The following is an 18,804-nucleotide window of genomic DNA, read 5'->3' as shown; positions in this document are numbered from 1 at the left end:
CCAACGGGCTTAACAAATGGCACACCAGGAGATTATATCCCGCACCTGAGTTGGAGGGTCCTATGCCCAAGGAGCCTCGCTCATTGCTAGCAAAGCAATCTGAGATCAAACTGCAAGGTGGCAGCCAGGCTGGGGGAGGGGTGCCTGCCATTGCCCAGGCTTCAGTAGGTAAACAAAACAGCCCAGAAGCTCGAACTGGGTGGGGCCCACCACAGCTCAAGAAGGCCTGCCTGCCTCTGTAGGCTCCACCTCTGGGGGCAGGGAACAGACAAACAAAAGACAGCAATAACCTCGGCAGACTTAAATGTCTCTGTCAGACAGCTTTGAAGAGAGTAGTGGTTCTCCCAGCACACAGCTTAAGATCTGAGAATGGGCAGACTGCCTCCTCAAGTGGGTCCCTCACCCATGAGTAGCCTAACTGGGAGGCACCCCCCAGTAGGGGCAGACTGACACCTCACACGGCCGGGTACTCCTCTGACACAAAACTTTCAGAGGAACGATCAGGCAGCAGCATTTGTGGTTCACCAATATCCGCTGTTCTGCAGCCACCACTGCTGATACCCATGCAAACAGGGTCTGGAGTGGACCTCCAGTAAACTCCAAAAGACCTGCAGCTGAGGGTCCTGACTGTTAGAAGGAAAACTAACAAACAGAAAGGACATCCACACCAAAAACCCATCTGTACGTCACCATCATCAAAGACCAAAGGTAGATAAAACCACAAAGATGTGGAAAAAACAGAGCAGAAAAACCGGAAACTCTAAAAATCAGAGCACCTCTCCTCCTCCAAAGGAACGCAGCTCATCACCAGCAATGGAACAAAGCTGGATGGAGAATGACTTTGATGAGTTGAGAGAAGAAGGCTTCAGAAGACCAAACTACTCCGAGCTAAAGGAGGAAGTTCGAACAAATGACAAAGAAGATAAAAACTTTGAAAAAAAATTAGACGACTGGATAACTAGAATAACCAATGCAGAGAAGTCCTTAAAAGACCTGATGGAGCTGAAAACCACAGCATGAGAACTACGTGACGAATGCACAAGCCTCAGTAACTGATGCAATCACCTGGAAGAAAGGGTATCAGTGATGGAAGATAAAATGAATGAAATGAAGCGTGAATAGAAGTTTAGAGAAAAAAGAATAAAAAGAAATGAACAAAGCCTCCAAGAAATATGGGACTATGTGAAAAGACCAAATCTATGTCTAACTGGTGTACCTGAAAGTGACAGGGAGAGTGGAACCAACTTGGAAAACACTCTGCAGGATATTATCCAGGAGAACTTCCCCAATCTAGCAAGGCAGGCCAACATTCAAATTCAGGAAATACAGAGAATGCCACAAAGATACTCCTCGAGAAGAGCAACTCCAAGACACATAATTGTCAGATTCACCAAAGTTGAAATGAAGGAAAAAATGTTAAGGGCAGCCAGAGAGAAAGGTCGGGTGACCCACAAAGGGAAGCCCATCAGACTAACTGTGGATCTCTCAGCAGAAACTCTACAAGCCAGAAGTGAGTGGGGGCCGATATTCAACATTCTTAAAGAAAAGAATTTTCAATCCAGAATTTCATATCCAGCCAAACTAAGCTTCATAAGTGAAGGAGAAATAAAATCCTTTACAGACAAGCAAAAGCGGACAGATTTTGTCACCGCCAGGCCTGCCCTACAAGAGCTCCTGAAGGAAGCACTAAAAATGGAAAGGAACAACCGGTACCAGCCAATGCAAAAACATGCCAAATTGTAAAGACCATCAAGGCTAAGAAGAAACTGCATCAACTAATGAGCAAAATAACCAGCTAACATCATAATGAAAGGATCAAATTCACACATAACAATACTAACCTTAAACGTAAATGGGCTAAATGCTCCAATTAAAAGGCACAGACTGGCAAACTGGATAAAGAGCCAAGACCTGTCAGTGTGCTATATTCAGGAAACCCACCTCACATGCAGAGACACACATAGGCTCAAAATAAAGGGATGGAGGAAGATCTACCAAGCAAATGGAAAACAAAAAAAGGCAGGGGTTGCAATCCTAGTCTCTGATAAAACAGATTTTAAACCAACAAAGATCAAAAGAGACAAAGAAGGCCATTACATAATGGTAAAGGGATCAATTCAACAAGAAGAGCTAACTATCCTAAATATACATGCACCCAATACAGGAGCACCCAGATTCATAAAGCAAGTCCTGAGTGACCTACAAAGAGACTTAGACTCCCACACAATAATAATGGGAGACTTTAACACCCCACTGTCAACATTAGACAGATCAATGAGACAGAAAGTTAACAAGGATATCCAGGAATTGAACTCAGCTCTGCACCAAGCGGACCTAATAGACATCTACAGAACTCTCCACCCCAAATCAACAGAATATACATTCTTTTCAGCAACACACCACACCTATTCCAAAATTGACCACATAGTTGGAAGTAAAGCTCTCCTCAGCAAATGTAAAAGAACAGAAATTATAACAAACTGTCTCTCAGACCACAGTGCAATCAAACTAGAACTCAGGATTAAGAAACTCACTGAAAACCGCTCAACTACATGGAAACTGAACAACCTGCTCCTGAATGACTACTGGGTACATAACGAAATGAAGGCAGAAATAAAGATGGTCTTTGAAACCAATGAGAACAAAGACACAACATAGCAGAATCTCTGGGACACATTCAAAGCAGTGTGTAGAGGAAAATTTATAGCACTAAATGCCCACAACAGAAAGCAGGAAAGATCTAAAATTGACATCCTAACATCACAATTAAAAGAACTAGGAAAGCAAGAGCAAACACATCCAAAAGCTAGCAGAAGGCAAGAAATAACTAAGATCAGAGCAGAACTGAAGGAGATAGAGACACAAAAAACCCTTCATAAAAATCAATGAATCTAGGAGCTGGTTTTTTGAAAAGATCAACAAAATTGATAGACCGCTAGCAAGACTAATAAAGAAGAAAAGGGAGAAGAAGCAAATAGACGCAATAAAAAATGATAAAGGGGATATCACCACCAATCCCACAGAAATACAAACTACCATCAGAGAATACTATAAACACCTCTAGGCAAATAAACTAGAAAATCTAGAAGAAACGGATAAATTCCTCAACACATACACTCTCCCAAGACTAAACCAGGAAGAAGTTGAATCTCTGAATAGACCAAAAACAGGCTCTGAAATTGAGGCAATAATTAATAGCCTACCAACCAAAAAAAGTCCAGGACCAGATGGATTCACAGCTGAATTCTACCAGAGGTACAAGGAGGAGCTGGTACCATTCCTTCTGAAACTATTCCAATCAATAGAAAAAGAGAGAATCCTCCCTAACTCATTTTATGAGGCCAGCATCATCCTGATACCAAAGCCTGGCAGAGACACAACAAAAAAAGAGAATTTTAGACCAATATCCCTGATGAACATTGATGCAAAAATCCTCAATAAAATACTGGCAAACCGAATCCAGCAGCACATCAAAAAGCTTATCCACCATGATCAAGTGGGCTTCATCCCTGGGATGCAAGGCTGGTTCAACATATGCAAATCAATAAATGTAATCCAGCATATAAACAGAACCAAAGACAAAAACCACATGATTATCTCAATAGATGCAGCAAAGGCCTTTGACAAAATTCAACAACCCTTCATGCTAAAAACTCTCAATAAATTAGGTATTGATGGGACTTATCTCAAAATAATAAGAGCTATCTATGACAAACCCACAGCCAGTATCATACTGAATGGACAAAAACTGGAAGCATTCACTTTGAAAACTGGCACAAGACAGGGATGCCCTCTCTCACCACTCCTATTCAACATAGTGTTGGAAGTTCTGGCCAGGGCAATCAGGCAGGAGAAGGAAATAAAGGGCATTCAATTAGGAAAAGAGGAAGTCAAGTTGTCCTTGTTTGCAGATGACATGATTGTATATCTAGAAAACCCCATCATCTCAGCCCAAAATCTCCTTAAGCTGATAGGCAACTTCAGCAAAGTCTCAGGATACACAATCAATGTGCAAAAATCACAAGCATTCTTATACACCAATAACAGACAAACAGAGAGCCAAATCATGAGTGAACTCCCATTCACAATTGCTTCAAAGAGAATAAAATACCTAGGAATCCAGCTTACAAGGGATGTGAAGGACTTCTTCAAAGAGAACTACAAACCACTGCTCAATGAAATAAAAGAGGATAAAAACAAATGGAAGAACATTCCATGCTCATGGGTAGGAAGAATCAATATTGTGAAAATGGCCATACCTCCCAAGGTAATTTATAGATTCAATGCCATCCCCATCAAGCTACCAATGACTTTCTTCACAGAATTGGAAAAAACTACTTTAAAGTTCGTATGGAACTGAAAAAGAGCCCGCATCACCAAGTCAATCCTAAGCCAAAAGAAGCATCACGCTACCTGACTTCAAACTATACTACAAGGCAACAGTAACCAAAACAGCATGGTGCTGGTACCAAAACAGAGATAAAGACCAATGGAACAGAACAGAGCCCTCAGAAATAATGCCGCATATCTACAGCTATCTGATCTTTGACAAACCTGAGAAAAACAAGCAATGGGGAAAGGATTCCCTATCTAATAAATGGTGCTGAGAAAACTGGCTAGCCATATGTAGAAAGCTGAAACTGGATCCCTTCCTTACACCTTATACAAAAATTAATTCAAGATGGAGTAAAGACTTACATGTTAGACCTAAAACCATAAAAACCCTAGAAGAAAACCTAGGCAATACCATTCAGGACATAGGATTGGGCAAGGACTTCATGTCTAAAACACCAAAAGCAATGGCAACAAAAGTCAAAATTGACAAATGGGATCTAATTCAACTAAAGAGCTTCTGCACAGCAAAAGAAACTACCATCAGAGTGAAACAAACAACCCCATCAAAAAGTGGGCAAAGGACATGAACAGACACTTCTCAAAAGAAGACATTTGTGCAGCCAAAAGACACATGAAAAAATGCTCATCATCACTGGCCATCAGAGAAATGCAAATCAAAACCACAATGAGATACCATCTCACACCAGTTAGAATGGCGATCGTTAGAAAGTCAGGAAACAACAGGTGCTGGAGAGGATGTGGAGAAATAGGAACACTTTTACACTGTTGGTGGGACTGGAAACTAGTTCAACCATTGTGGAAGTCAGTGTGGCGATTCCTCAGGGATCTAGAACTAGAAATACCATATGACCCAGCAATCCCATTACTGGGTATATACCCAAAGGATTATAAATCATGCTGCTATAAAGACACATGCACACGTATGTTTATTCACAATAGCAAAGACTTGGAACCAACCCAAATGTCCAACAATGATAGACTGGATTAAGAAAATGTGGCACATATGCACTATGGAATACTATGCAGCCATAAAAAATGATGAGTTCATGTCCTTTGTAGGGACATGGATGAAGCTGGAAACCATCATTCTCAGCAAACTATCGCAAGGACAAAAATCCAAACACCGTATGTTCCCACTCATAGGTGGGAATTGAACAATGAGAACACACGGACACAGGAAGGGGAACATCACACACCGGGGCCTGTTGTGGGATGGGGGGAGGGGGGAGGTGTAGCATTAGGAGATATACCTAATGTTAAATGACGAGTTAATGGGTGCAGCACACCAACATGGCACATGTATACATATGTAACAAACCTGCACGTTGTGCACATGTACCCTAAAACTTAAAGTATAAAAAAAAAGTGAATCTCTGCAAAAGTTATACTGTCTGACACATAGGAAGCAACTAGCAAATATTCTGTTCATTTAATTTCAATTCTCTTTATGAATTCCTTTTCTGTGTCTCCAAGGCCATTGTTGCAGTTCAGGCTTCATCATCTGCATCCTCCCCACTGGATGTTGGCATGATCTTTCTATCCCAGAAATATGGCCATGTCACTCTGCTGTTTAGACTCCTTCAGTGGCTCCTCAACGTTGCCAGGAACAACAACAAAGTATTTTACAAGATCTATAAAGTTGGTCATAAACTGTCTTCTGCTTATGTCCTGTGTCTTACCTGTTCACACTTTTCTGTAAGCTTCCTTTAGTCCACCTATGCTTGCTTTCTTCCTGGTCTTTACATTCTTTTCTCTGGCTAGAATTATCTTCTCCAATCCCTCTCTTTTTTCCCTTATATAATCCATAGGTTCACAGAATCCATCTTTGTTGTTGTTGTTTTGGTCTAGCTTACTAACTCTTGCTTGTCCTTTAAGACTCAATTCAGGGCCAGGCGTAGTGGCTCACGCCTGTAATCCCAGCACTTTGAGAGGCCGAGGCGGGCAGATCACCTGAGGTAAGGAGTTTGAGACCAGCCTGGCTAACATGGTGAAACTCCGTCTCTACTAAAAATATAAAATTTAGCTGGGCGTGGTGACAGGTGCCTGTAATCCCAGCTACTCAGGAGGCTGAGGCAGGAGAATTGCTTGAACCCGGGAAGTGGAGGTTGCAGTGAGCCAAGATCGTGCCACTGCACTCCAGCCCAGGCGACAGTATGAGACTCTGTCTAAAAAATAATAAAATAAAATAAAATAAATAAAAATAAAAGAGATTCAATTCAAATATCACCTATTCCAGAAATCTTCCTTAAGTTGCTCTCTTGTGATAGTGGCAGATGTTTCTCCTCCGTGCCTCTATGATTTCCTGTTTATGTGCCTGTTTCTCCTACAAGACCTTGAGCCCTTCAAGGACAGACTTCTTATGTTATTTGACTTCTTTGTATCCCCAGTAACCTAAAATAGACCGTGCAACGTAGCAGCCATTCCACAAATACTTGTTGAAGGAATGTATATTGAAAGGAACATGTAGTGTTTTTCTGTTTCTTGTTTTCAAACAGTGGGGGTACTGGTTAGCTAGCTGTGGCTTAGCAAAATTTACAGGGTTTTCTGGAGGTGACACTGCTTAGATGTCTCAGACTTGGGCCTCTATCTTCAGCCTCCATACATGTGTTCCTGTATCTGAGGATTTCCATCCTCTTAGGTTCCTAGGAACCTATTTCTGAGTTCTCAGAAGGTCCTGTCTAAATTTTTCCTGCAAATTCTCCTGTATGGCTAGGGATGGGTTTTAAGAGGGCTCAGCATGCCAAAGCCAATTACCACATATACCTATTTTTTTTTCAGATGATAAGACTGACAGCAAGAATTCTATTCCAAAGCAAGACATGTTAGTCATAGAAAAATGTCTAGAGATGTTACAAGCAGGGTCATTCCTTAGGCCCCCAACTCTGGAACAACTTCTGAGTATTAAGGCAAGTCAGAGTGCTAGGTTGAACATAGCGTGATATGTGTTTCCTTCCAAGAAAACTGTTTTGGTTCTGTCACTGAACAGCCAGTTCTTCCTGGGGGAGAGTTCCTGAAATAATATCCACGAGAAGAACTGAAGCCTTATGACCCAAAGGAGAGCAGCTATCGGCTAGAGAGTCTGGAGTAGAAATTCACAAAATTTTATCATCATACCGAACTCTGAATTTTTTAGGTAGTCAGATAATTAGTCTTAAGGAAATACATTAAAAGTATAACTAGTGTTTAAAAGCTTTTAGGCAGAATTCAATTCTTATTCTCCGCCAGAGAATTCACAGTAGGAAAAAGTCCTATAAATGCAGTGAATATGCAAGGATAATCATCAGGAGCTCTAAACATAAAAGAATCAATAGTAGAGACAAATCCTAGGGATATAGTGTCTATGGGAAAAACTTTTACTTGGAGCTCAAACTGTGTAAACTTCAAGATTATTCACAGTAGAGAGAAGCCCTTTGAGTGTCATCTATGCATCAGGGCCTTAATTTAGGCCTCAGGCCTGATTATGCATCAGCAATCTATAGCAGAGAAAAACTTTATGAATGTCATGCATATGACAAGCCTTAACCAGGACAACCTTATTAATCACCAGAAAATTCATGACAGAAGTCATTGTAGTAGATACTATGACTATTGATTCCTCCTAATTCAAGCCTGGTGTCTTGCCTGGACTAATCTCTTCACTGGTCTGTTTACCTCCAATTCTTACTCCTTGTTACACCAGAACTTTTTTTTTTTATTTTAATAGGTTTTTGGGGAATAGGTGATGTTTCATTACATGGATAAGTTCCTTAGTGGTGATTTCTGAGATTATGGTGCATGCATCACCCAAGCAGTGTACGCTGTACTCAATGTGTAGTCTTTTATCCCTCACCCCATCCACCCTTCCCCCCAAGTCCCCAAAGTCCATTGTATCATTCTTATGCCTTTGCATCCTCATAGCTTAGATCCCACTTATAAGTGAGAACATACAATATTTGGTTTTCCATTCCTGAGTTACTTTACTTAGAATAATGGTTGCTGTGAATGCCATTATCTCATTCCTTTTTATGGCTGAGTAGTATTCCATGGTGTGTATACACCACATTTTCTTTATCCACTCATTGGACGGTGAGCATTTAGGCTGGTTCCACAGTTTTGCTTTTGTGATTGTGCTGCTATAAACATTCATGTGCAAGTGTCCTTTTCATATAATGACTTTTTTTTTTCATTTGATCAAATGGTAGATCTACTTTTAGTTCTTTAAGGAATCTCCACACTGTTTTCCATAGTGGTTGTAATAGTTTACATTTCCACCAACAGAGTAAAAGTGTTCCCTTTTTACCACATCCATGCCAACATCTATTATTATTATTATTATTATTATTATTATTATTTAGAGACAGAGTTTCGCTCTTGTTGCCCAGGCTGGAGTGCAATGGTGCGATCTTGGCTCACCGCAACCTCTGCCTCCTGGGTTCAAGTGATTCTCCTGCCTCAGCCTCCCAAGTAGCTGGGATTACAGGCATACACCACCACACTCGCCCGATTTTGTATTTTTAGTAGAGCGGGCGTTTCTCCAGGTTGGTCATTCTGTCTCAAACTGCCGACCTCAGGTGATCCGCCCACCTCAGCCTCCCAAAGAGCTGGGATTGCAGGCAAGAGCCACTGCGCCCGGCCCTATTATTTTTTGATTTTTAAAATTATGGCCATTCTGCAGGAGTAAGGTGGTATCACATTGTGGTTTTGATTTGCATTTATCTGATAATTAGTGATGTTGAGCATTTCTTCATATGTTTGTTGGCCATTTATATATCTTCTTTTGAGAACTTTCTATTTATGGACAATACTTTCGGATGGGATTTTTTTTTTTCTTGCTGATTTGTTTGAGGACCCTGTAGATTCTGGATATTAGTCCTTTGTCGAATGTGTAGATTGTGAAGATTTTCTCCCACTCTGTGGATTGTCTATTTACTCTGCTGATTATTTCCTTTGCTGAGCAGAAACTTTTTAGTTTAATTAAGTTGCATCTATTTATCTTTGTTTTTGTCATGTTTGCTTTTGGGCACTTGGTCATGAAGTCTTTGCCTAAGCCAATGTCTAGAAGAGTTTTCCTCATGTTATCTTGTACAATTTTTATGGTTTCAGGTCTTAGATTTAAGTCCTATCTTGAGTTGATTTTTGTATAACGTGAGAGATGAGGACCCAGTTTTATTCTCCTACATGTGGCTCGCCAATTATTCCAGCAACATTTATTGAATAGGATGTCCTTTCCCTACTTTATGTTTTTGTTTGCTTTGTTAAAGGTCAGTTGACTCTAAGTATTTGGCTTTATTTCTGGGTTCTCTGTTCTGTTCCATTGATATATATGCCTATTTTTATACCAGTACCATGTTTTGATGACCATGGCCTTATAGGATAGTTTGAAGTCAGGTAATATAATGCTTCCAGATTTGTTCTTTTTGCTTAATCTTGCCTTGGCTATGTGGACTCCTTTTTGTTCCATATGAATTTTAGGATTGTTTTTTCTAGTTCTGTGAAGAATGATGATGGTATTTTTATGGGAATTGCATTAAATTTGTAGATTGCATTTGGCAGTATGGAAATTTTCACAATATTGATTCTACCCATTCATAAGCATGTGATGTGTTTCCATTTGTTTGTGTTTCTATGATTTCTTTTTTTTTTTTTTTTTTTTTTTTTTTTTTTTTTGAGACGGAGTCTCGCTCTGTCGCCCAGGCTGGAGTGCAGTGGCGGGATCTCGGCTCACTGCAAGCTCCGCCTCCTGGGTTCACACCATTCTCCTGCCTCAGCCTCCCAAGTAGCTGGGACTACAGGCGCCCGCCACTACGCCCGGCTAATTTTTTGTATTTTTAGTAGAGACGGGGTTTCACCGCTTTAGCCAGGATGGTCTCGATCTCCTGACCTCGTGATCCGCCCACCTCGGCCTCCCAAAGTCTATGATTTCTTTCAGCAGTGTTTTATAGTTTTCCTTGTAGAGGTATTTTACCTTCTTGATTAGGTATATTCCTAATTATTTTATTTTATTTTTTGCAACTGTTGTAAAAGGGGTTGCATTCTTGATTTGATTCTCAGCTTGGTCGCTGTTGGTGTATAGCAGAGCTACTGATTTGTGTACATTAATTTTGTATCCTGAAACTTTGCTGAATTCATTTATCAATCCTAGGAGATTTTTGGAGGAGTTAGTAGGGTTTTCTAGGTATAGGATCATATCATCAGCAAACAGTGACTGTTTGATGTCCTCTTTACTGATTTTGATGCCGTTTATTTCTTTTTCTTATTTGATTGCTCTGGCTAGGACTTCCAGTACTATGTTGAATAGAAGTGGCGAAAGTGGGCATCCTTGTCTTGTTCCAGTTCTCAGGGTAATGTTTTCAACTTTTCCCCATTCAGTATAATGTTGGCTGTGGATCTATCATAGATGGCTTTTATTACCTTAAGTTACATCCCTTCTATGCCAATTTTGCTGCCGGGTCTGAGCTCCTTCAGCTGCACCTGCTCCTCCAGGGCCATGGTTGTGAAGAAGATTGAAACCCGTGATGGGAAGCTGGTGTCTGAGTCCTCTGATGTCCTGCCGATGTGAACCGCCACGGCAGCCGCTCCCAGCCTACCCCTACTGTGGCTGCCCCAGAGCCTGTGGGGGAGACCACTGTGTGGGGGAGCATAGGGGACAGGAGACCCACCAGAGGCTCAGCCCTAGCCCTCAGCCCACATGTAGGGGCAGTTTACTGCCTGGGGTACTTGCCTTGCCCATGCCTTCAGCTACAAAACAATTCAGTTGGGTTTTTTCCAAAATAAAACCTCAGCTAGCTCTGCCAACTGTCAAACAACAGCAACAACAACAACGAAACAAAGAAATAAAATACCAGCTTAACCTTTTAACTTGTATATTATTAGGAAAAAATTGGAAATTATAAAAATAAACCAGTATTTTTAGCCTTTGTATTTCAATAAGAATTATTGAGGCCGGGCACGGTGGCTCACGCCTGTAATCCCAGCACTTTGGGAGGCTGATGGGGGCGGATCACGAGGTCAGGAGATCGAGACCATCCTGGCTAACATGGTGAAATCCCGTCTCTGCTAAAAACATAAAAAATTAGCCGGGCATGGTGGCAGGCGCCTGTAGTCCCAGCTACTCAGGAGGCTGAGGCAGGAGAATGGCATGAACCCGGGAGGTGGAGACTGCAGTGAGCCGAGATCACACCACTGCACTCCAGCCTGGGCGACAGAGAAAGACTCCGTCTCAAAAAAAAAAAAAAAAAAAAAGAATTATTGAACACCTACTAATGCTAAGTGTAACACTGTATGGGAGATTAAGTTCTACCAGAGATGCTGCCAGTCTGAATAGGTAAATAGCATTAAATACCATTTCACAATGTAGAAACTAAAGGTAGTTAAATAGATACAGCTAAAGTACTATAGAAGGTCAGACCTATCAGAGATCAGGTTCAGATTTGGGGGAAGAACGCAAGCAAACCTTACAGCATTTTATATAGGTTTTGTTGATTATTCTTTTTAGTCATGGTAAAATATACTTAACATAAAATTTACCATATTTAAATATAGTTAGTTGAGTGGTTAAGAACAATCACATTGTTGTACAACTATCATAATCATCTATCTCTAGAACTTTTTCATCTTCCCAAATGGAAACTCTGTATCCTTAAACAGTAACTTCCATTCTCCCCACCGCCCCGCCCCTGACAACCACCATTCTTTCTATCTCTATGAATCTGATTGCTCTAAGTACCTAACTTATGTAAGTGGAATCATACAATGTTCATCCTTTGTGACTGGCTTATTTCACATAGCATAATGCTTTTAAGATTCATCCATGTTGTAGCATGTGTCAGAATTTTCTTCCTTTTTGGATGAGTTCATGCCCTTTGTAGGGACATGGATGAAGCTGGAAACCATCATTCTGAGCAAACTATCACAAGGACAGAAAACCAAAGACTGCATGTTCTCACTCATAGGTGGGGATTGAACAATGAGAACACTTGGACACAGGGTGGGGAACATCACACCCCGGGGCCTGTCGTGGGGTGGGGGAGGGGGGAGGAATAGCATTAGGAGATATTCCTAATGTAAATGACGAGTTAATGGTGCAGCACACCAACATGGCACATGTATACATATGTAACAAAGTTGCACGTTGTGCACATGTACCCTAGAACTTAAAGTATAATAATAATTAAAAAAAAGAGAGAAGTAGCTAAAGTAGACATATCCTGATCCAAAATTTTAAAAATAGATTAAAATCCGCCTCTGGTTTATGATCTCTTCAAAAAAAAAAAAAGAAAATATTGAGTTCCTTTAAGTGAATTGACAGTAGTGGTGTTTTGTTTAATACGTAATATACTTAAGCTATATTTTCAATTTTTTTATTATTTTCCTGATGCTTTTAAACAAAAACACAAATTCCTACGTCATAAAGCATGGTCCATTGGCAAATGGAAAGCAATAAGCAAGTGACAGTGAAGAAGCTATTGAAAAGAACAAGGACATGGGCCAGCCCCGGGCTGAATCCCAGCCTGGCCCACACTGTCTATGTGACCTTAGGCAGTGACTCAGTTCTCTAAGACCAGGTTTCCTCTTCTGGAAAAGCAGTATTTGCAAAATCCCATGAGAAATCGACAAGATAATAATATTTGCAAAGAATCCACACTGCTCCGGGCACCATAAATAGTAACAGTAGCATGTAACAATAACATTCATCTCAGAAAAATGTGGCATCAGCAAAGAACTGGAAATGCTTGTTTTCAGGGTTAAAAAAATACCATTAGGGTTTCTTCACTAAATAAACTAGTAATTTTAGTGGCCCAATCTGGAGGCCTGTGGTTTAAAAAAAAAAAAAAAAGAATTTTCTTCCTTTTCAAGGCTGAACAGTATTCTTTGGTATGTATATACCACATTTTGTTTATCCATTTATCCTTCAATGGACATTTGGGTTGTTTCCACCTTTTGGCTATTTTGACTAATGCTGCAGACATTACTTTTAAATATATCTCAGTTCCATTCACTTCTGTCCATCTTCATCGCTACTGTGAAAGCTGATTATATGAATTGGGTCATTCTTGTCATACCCAACTAAAACAGAGTCAAGAAGCCAGGGGGGGAAAATCACTCAGGGCACATAACATTGCTCCAAAAATATAATTCTCTGCAAGCCTGGCTGCTGAAACTGCGTGCTGTAACCTGAAAGCAGTTTTATCTCATGGCTACTGAAACAGCCTGCTGCAACTTTTACCTACTACGACCACTCAACAATAAGAGCTTGCCACCTCCCCAAAAATCTTACTAGTGCCAATGTACTGTCTCAAAGAGCAATGTGTAGTATTTCTATTTTTAAATAAAACCTCTAAATTTCTCTTTGTTCTTTGGACATACTGAAGAACACCTGGTCTGCCTGTATACTCCAAATTGCAATTCTTTCTTCCCAAATTAAAAGTTTTAATCTCAGAGATTTGTCTCTATATTTTATTTGACGTCAGTGCTACCTCCTTATTCCAGGTTACCATCAACTCACACATGAACTAGTACAACAAACTTCTAACCATAAAATATCTAATTTTAAAATACTAAATATAAGAATATTAAATATCTAATATTGGATCTAAATGCATTTGAAGCATCATACCTAGTAAATTATGAAATTACAAAAACTTCAGAAAATTCAACTCCATCATCTTATTTATTTATACCTGCCTCTTCAAGGATAGGTCAATTTCACTGATTGAAAGTAAGAGACAGCTAAACCCTCATGTGCCATTCATACAAGTCCCTATTTAAACTTCCCCATTTAAAAGTTATCAACAAGTGTAAGTTGACAATTTGATTATTTCCAAAAACATAGTATCTCAGTAAATATATGCTAGGTCTAACAGTGTTGAGCCTATCATTTTATTGAGAGTAAATATAACGAACATATTCACATTTTATAACTTGTTGAGTCCAGTGATGTTTTTAATCCAGCCAGTTTAACCTAATCAGCTGCCAACTCATATAGGATGGGTGCTTTAAAAATTTCTTTATTGACAAATGATGCTTTTTTAGGCATAAAGTAAATATCACGCATCATTTATTAAATGGGGAAAGGCAAAATTTTTTTTACATATTATGAATATGTGAATTATATGGGTAGAGAGCAGAATTGGATAAGCTTTTTTCTTTCCAGGTTTTCTTGGGTGGTGGGGCAGGGAGGGATTTGCTGGGGATAGGGGAGGATGTGGATGGAATTTGTTGACAGTTTTCATCTTGCAGTTTTTCTTTTTTTTATTTTTATTTTTTATTAATATACTTTAAGTTTTAGGGTACATGTGCACAATGTGCAGGTTTGTTACATATGTATACATGTGCCATGTTGGTGTGCTGCACCCATTAACTCATCATTTAGCATTAAGTATATCTCCTAATGCTATCCCTCCCCCCTCCCCCCACCCCACAACAGGCCCCAGTGTGTGATGTTCCCCTTCCTGTGTCCATGTGTTCTCATTGTTCAATTCCCACCTATGAGTGAGAACATGCGGTGTTTGGTTTTTTGTCCTTGTGATAGTTTGCTAAGAATGATGGTTTCCAGCTTCATCCATGTCCCTACAAAGAAATGAACTCATCCTTTTTTATGGCTGCATAGTATTCCATAGTGTATATGTGCCACATTTTCTTCATCCAGTCTATCATTGTTGGACATTTGGGTTGGTTCCAAGTCTTTGCTATTGTGAATAGTGCCGCAATAAACATACATGCGCATGTGTCTTTATAGCAGCATCATTTATAATCCTTTGGGTATATACCCAGTAATGGGATTGCTGGGTCAAATGGTATTTCTAGTTCTAGATCCCTGAGGAATCGCCACACTGACTTCCACAATGGTTGAACTAGTTTCCAGTCCCACCAACAGTGTAAAAGTGTTCCTATTTCTCCACATCCTCTCCAGCACCTGTTGTTTCCTGACTTTTTAATGATTGCCATTCTAACTGGTGTGAGATGGTATCCCATTGTGGTTTTGATTTGCATTTCTCTGATGGCCAGTGATGATGAGCATTTTTTCATATGTCTTTTGGCTGCATAAATGTCTTCTTTTGAGAAGTGTCTGTTCATATCCTTTGCCCACTTTTTGATGGGGTTGTTTGTTTTTTTCTTGTCAATTTGTTTGAGTTCATTGTAGATTCTGGATATTAGCCCTTTGTCAGATGAGTAGATTGCAAAAATTTTCTCCCATTCTGTAGGTTGCCTGTTCGCCCTGATGGTAGTTTCTTTTGCTGTGCAGAAGCTCTTTAGTTTAATTAGATCCCATTTGTCTGTTTTGGCTTTTGTTGCCATTGCTTTTGGTGTTTTAGACATGAAGTCCTTGCCCATGCCTATGTCCTGAATGGTATTGCCTAGGTTTTCTTCTAGGGTTTTTATGGTTTTAGGTCTAACATGTAAGTCTTTAATCCATCTTGAATTAATTTTTGTATAAGGTGTAAGGAAGGGATCCAGTTTCAGCTTTCTACATATGGCTAGCCAGTTTTCCCAGCACCATTTATTAAATAGGGAATCCTTTCCCCATTGCTTGTTTTTGTCAGGTTTGTCAAAGATCAGATGGTTGTAGATATACAGCATTATTTCTGAGGGCTCTGTTCTGTTCCATTGATCTATATCTCTGTTTTGGTACCAGTACCATGCTGTTTTGGTTACTGTAGCCTTGTAGTATAGTTTGAAGTCAGGTAGCGTGATGCTTCCAGTTTTGTTCTTTTGGCTTAGGATTGACTTGGCAATGCGGGCTCTTTTTTGGTTCCATATGAACTTTCTCAATAGATGCAGAAAAGGCCTTTGACAAAATTCAACAACCCTTCATGCTAAAAACTCTCAATAAATTAGGTATTGATGGGATGTATCTCAAAATAATAAGAGCTATCTATGACAAACCCACAGCCAGTATCATACTGAATGGACAAAAACTGGAAGCATTCCCTTTGAAAACTGGCACAAGACAGGGATGCCCTCTCTCACCACTCCTATTCAACATAGTGTTGGAAGTTCTGGCCAGGGCAATCAGGCAGGAGAAGGAAATAAAGGGCATTCAATTAGGAAAAGAGGAAGTTAAATTGTCCCTGTTTGCAGATGACATGATTGTATATCTAGAAAACCCCATTGTCTCAGCCCAAAATCTCCTTAAGCTGATAGGCAACTTCAGCAAAGTCTCAGAATACAAAAGCAATGTGTAAAAATCACAAGCATTCTTATACACAAATAACAGACAAACAGAGAGCCAAATCATGAGTGAACTCCCATTCACAATTGCTTCAAAGAGAATAAAATACCTAGGAATCCAGCTTACAAGGGATGTGAAGGACTTCTTCAAGGAGAACTACAAACCACTGCTCAAGGAAATAAAAGAGGATAAAAACAAATGGAAGAACATTCCATGCTAATGGGTAGGAAGAATCAATATCGTGAAAATGGCCATACTGCCCAAGGTAATTTATAGATTCAATGCCATCCCCATCAAGCTACCAATGACTTTCTTCACAGAATTGGAAAAAACTACTTTAAACAGATTCACTCTTTTACACTTCATAAAAACACTATAAAGTAGATATTATCAGTATCTTCATATTACAGACAAGGAAACTGAAATTCAGACAGGTGAAATAACCTCCCAAAGTTCACACAGTTAATAAATGGCAGAACCCAGTTAATCTGGCTCGAGGGCTGATGTTCTTAATCACTGTTCATTCTTGCAGTAACATTTAGAAGAACCAAGTACCAGGATGAGATCTCATCTTCCATAAAGTGACGGAGCAAGTAATTCCAGACTCTTCCTCCTCCCTCAACATCTACAAAACTCACTGTTCCTGAAATGCAGTAAACATCTTAAGACCTCCCTGATTTTGTTGATATTGTACCCTCTGCCTGGATTGCCCCTTTCCCTGTGCTTTATCCAGTAAACTCATGCTTCATAACCCATTTAAAATATCATCTGTGCTCTGTAGTGTTTCCTGAAATACCTTAGGGACTTTTAAACTTTTTTCCTTTTGCTCATATTGCTTTCTCTGCCTGCTGAATAGGGGATTGAGAAAGAAAACACATTCTTCTTTACCAAAAGACAAAAACTATAAATAGTTACTAGCTGTATTAAGATATATGCCAGGTGTGATGGTTAATATCGAGTGTCAACTTGATTGGATTGAAGGATGCAAAGTATTGATTTTGGGTATGTCTGTGAGGGTGTTGCCCAAAGGAGATTAACATTTGAGTAAGTGGGCTGGGGAAGGCAAACCCACCCTTAACCTGGGTGGGTATCATCTAATTGGCTGCCAGCAAATATAAAGCAGGCAGAAAAACATGAAAAGGCTAGACTGGCTTAGCCTCCCAGCCTACATCCTTCTCCCATGCTGCATGCTTCCTGCCCTTGAACATTGGACTCCAAGTTCTTCAGCTTTGGGACTCAGACTGGCTTCGTTGCTCCTCGGCTTGCAGCTGGCCTATTGTGGGACCTTGTGATCATGTGAATTAATACTACTTAATAACTCCCATATATATATACATGTATATATATACATAAATATATATATGTATGTATATGAGAGTTATATATAAACTCACGTGTGTGTGTGTGTGTGTGTCTCCTATTAGTTCTGTCCCTCTAGAGAACCCTGACTAATATACCAGGACCTTTTTTAATTCTCCTAATAGGAAGATATTCCTACTAAGCATATAGATTACTTATAAAAGGAAGAGTATGAGCCTGACATTGAACATTTTAGCTCTAATTATAAGTGTTATTAAACAATGAAATAATATTTATAACACTCTGAGGGGTGAAAAACTGGACTTTGGAATTTTATACCTAACCAAAAATGATAAGAGAATTCTCTGTATTACTCTATGATATTTTGAAAAATATTGATTACTAAAATTGATATGGGAAGAAGTTTTTTAAAAAACGTATAAACAAATTATCATGGAAACCATTGGAAAAGCTGTCTAAGAACAACCCAGCTACCATCACCAAATGGTATTAGGGCAAATAATTATATTGGCTGGTATTACCAAAACTTACAAGAACAGATGTGTTATTTAAATTAAAATGGAAACTATAGACCAATCTTACATGAAGAAGAAACCACAGCACGTCTGGGACATAGCTATCATGCTACTCTCTGAGTTTCATTCCAGAATGTGGGTAAGGGATATAGCTAATGAAGGAGAGAGATGCTGATAGTGAGACCAACCCTTCAGGAAGTAACCCAACAAAGCCTGTATGTCTTCCTTAATCCCCACTCATCACAAGTGGTTGAGACTATCGTTAACTGGGACAACCTTTTACAGAGATATTGGATAAAATGTAGGAAAAAATCTTTAAAAGATCCATATCCTTTGGTCGAATAATCCCATTACTAAAAATCAATACTAATATTTGTGGTGATGGTTGCACAGTTCTGTAAATATACTAATAATCATTGAATTACACATTTAAAATGGGTGAGTTTTATGGTTTATAAATAA

The 18,804-nt window shown here is 39.6% G+C and overlaps 1 protein-coding gene across 2 annotated transcripts in view; it reads right to left on the bottom strand.

The window, feature by feature from the left end:
- Positions 1-18,804, bottom strand: part of PAGE2B (PAGE family member 2B) — a 50,793-nt gene that overhangs the window by 26,254 nt on the left and 5,735 nt on the right. The gene's annotated exons all lie outside the window — the stretch shown is intronic.

The sequence above is a fragment of the Homo sapiens genome, chromosome X (assembly GCF_000001405.40).
Source record: "Homo sapiens chromosome X, GRCh38.p14 Primary Assembly".
Taxonomy (NCBI): Eukaryota; Metazoa; Chordata; class Mammalia; order Primates; family Hominidae; genus Homo; species Homo sapiens.
The sequence above is the reverse complement of the archived record's forward strand: the minus strand, read 5'-3'. Positions and strand labels throughout refer to the sequence as shown.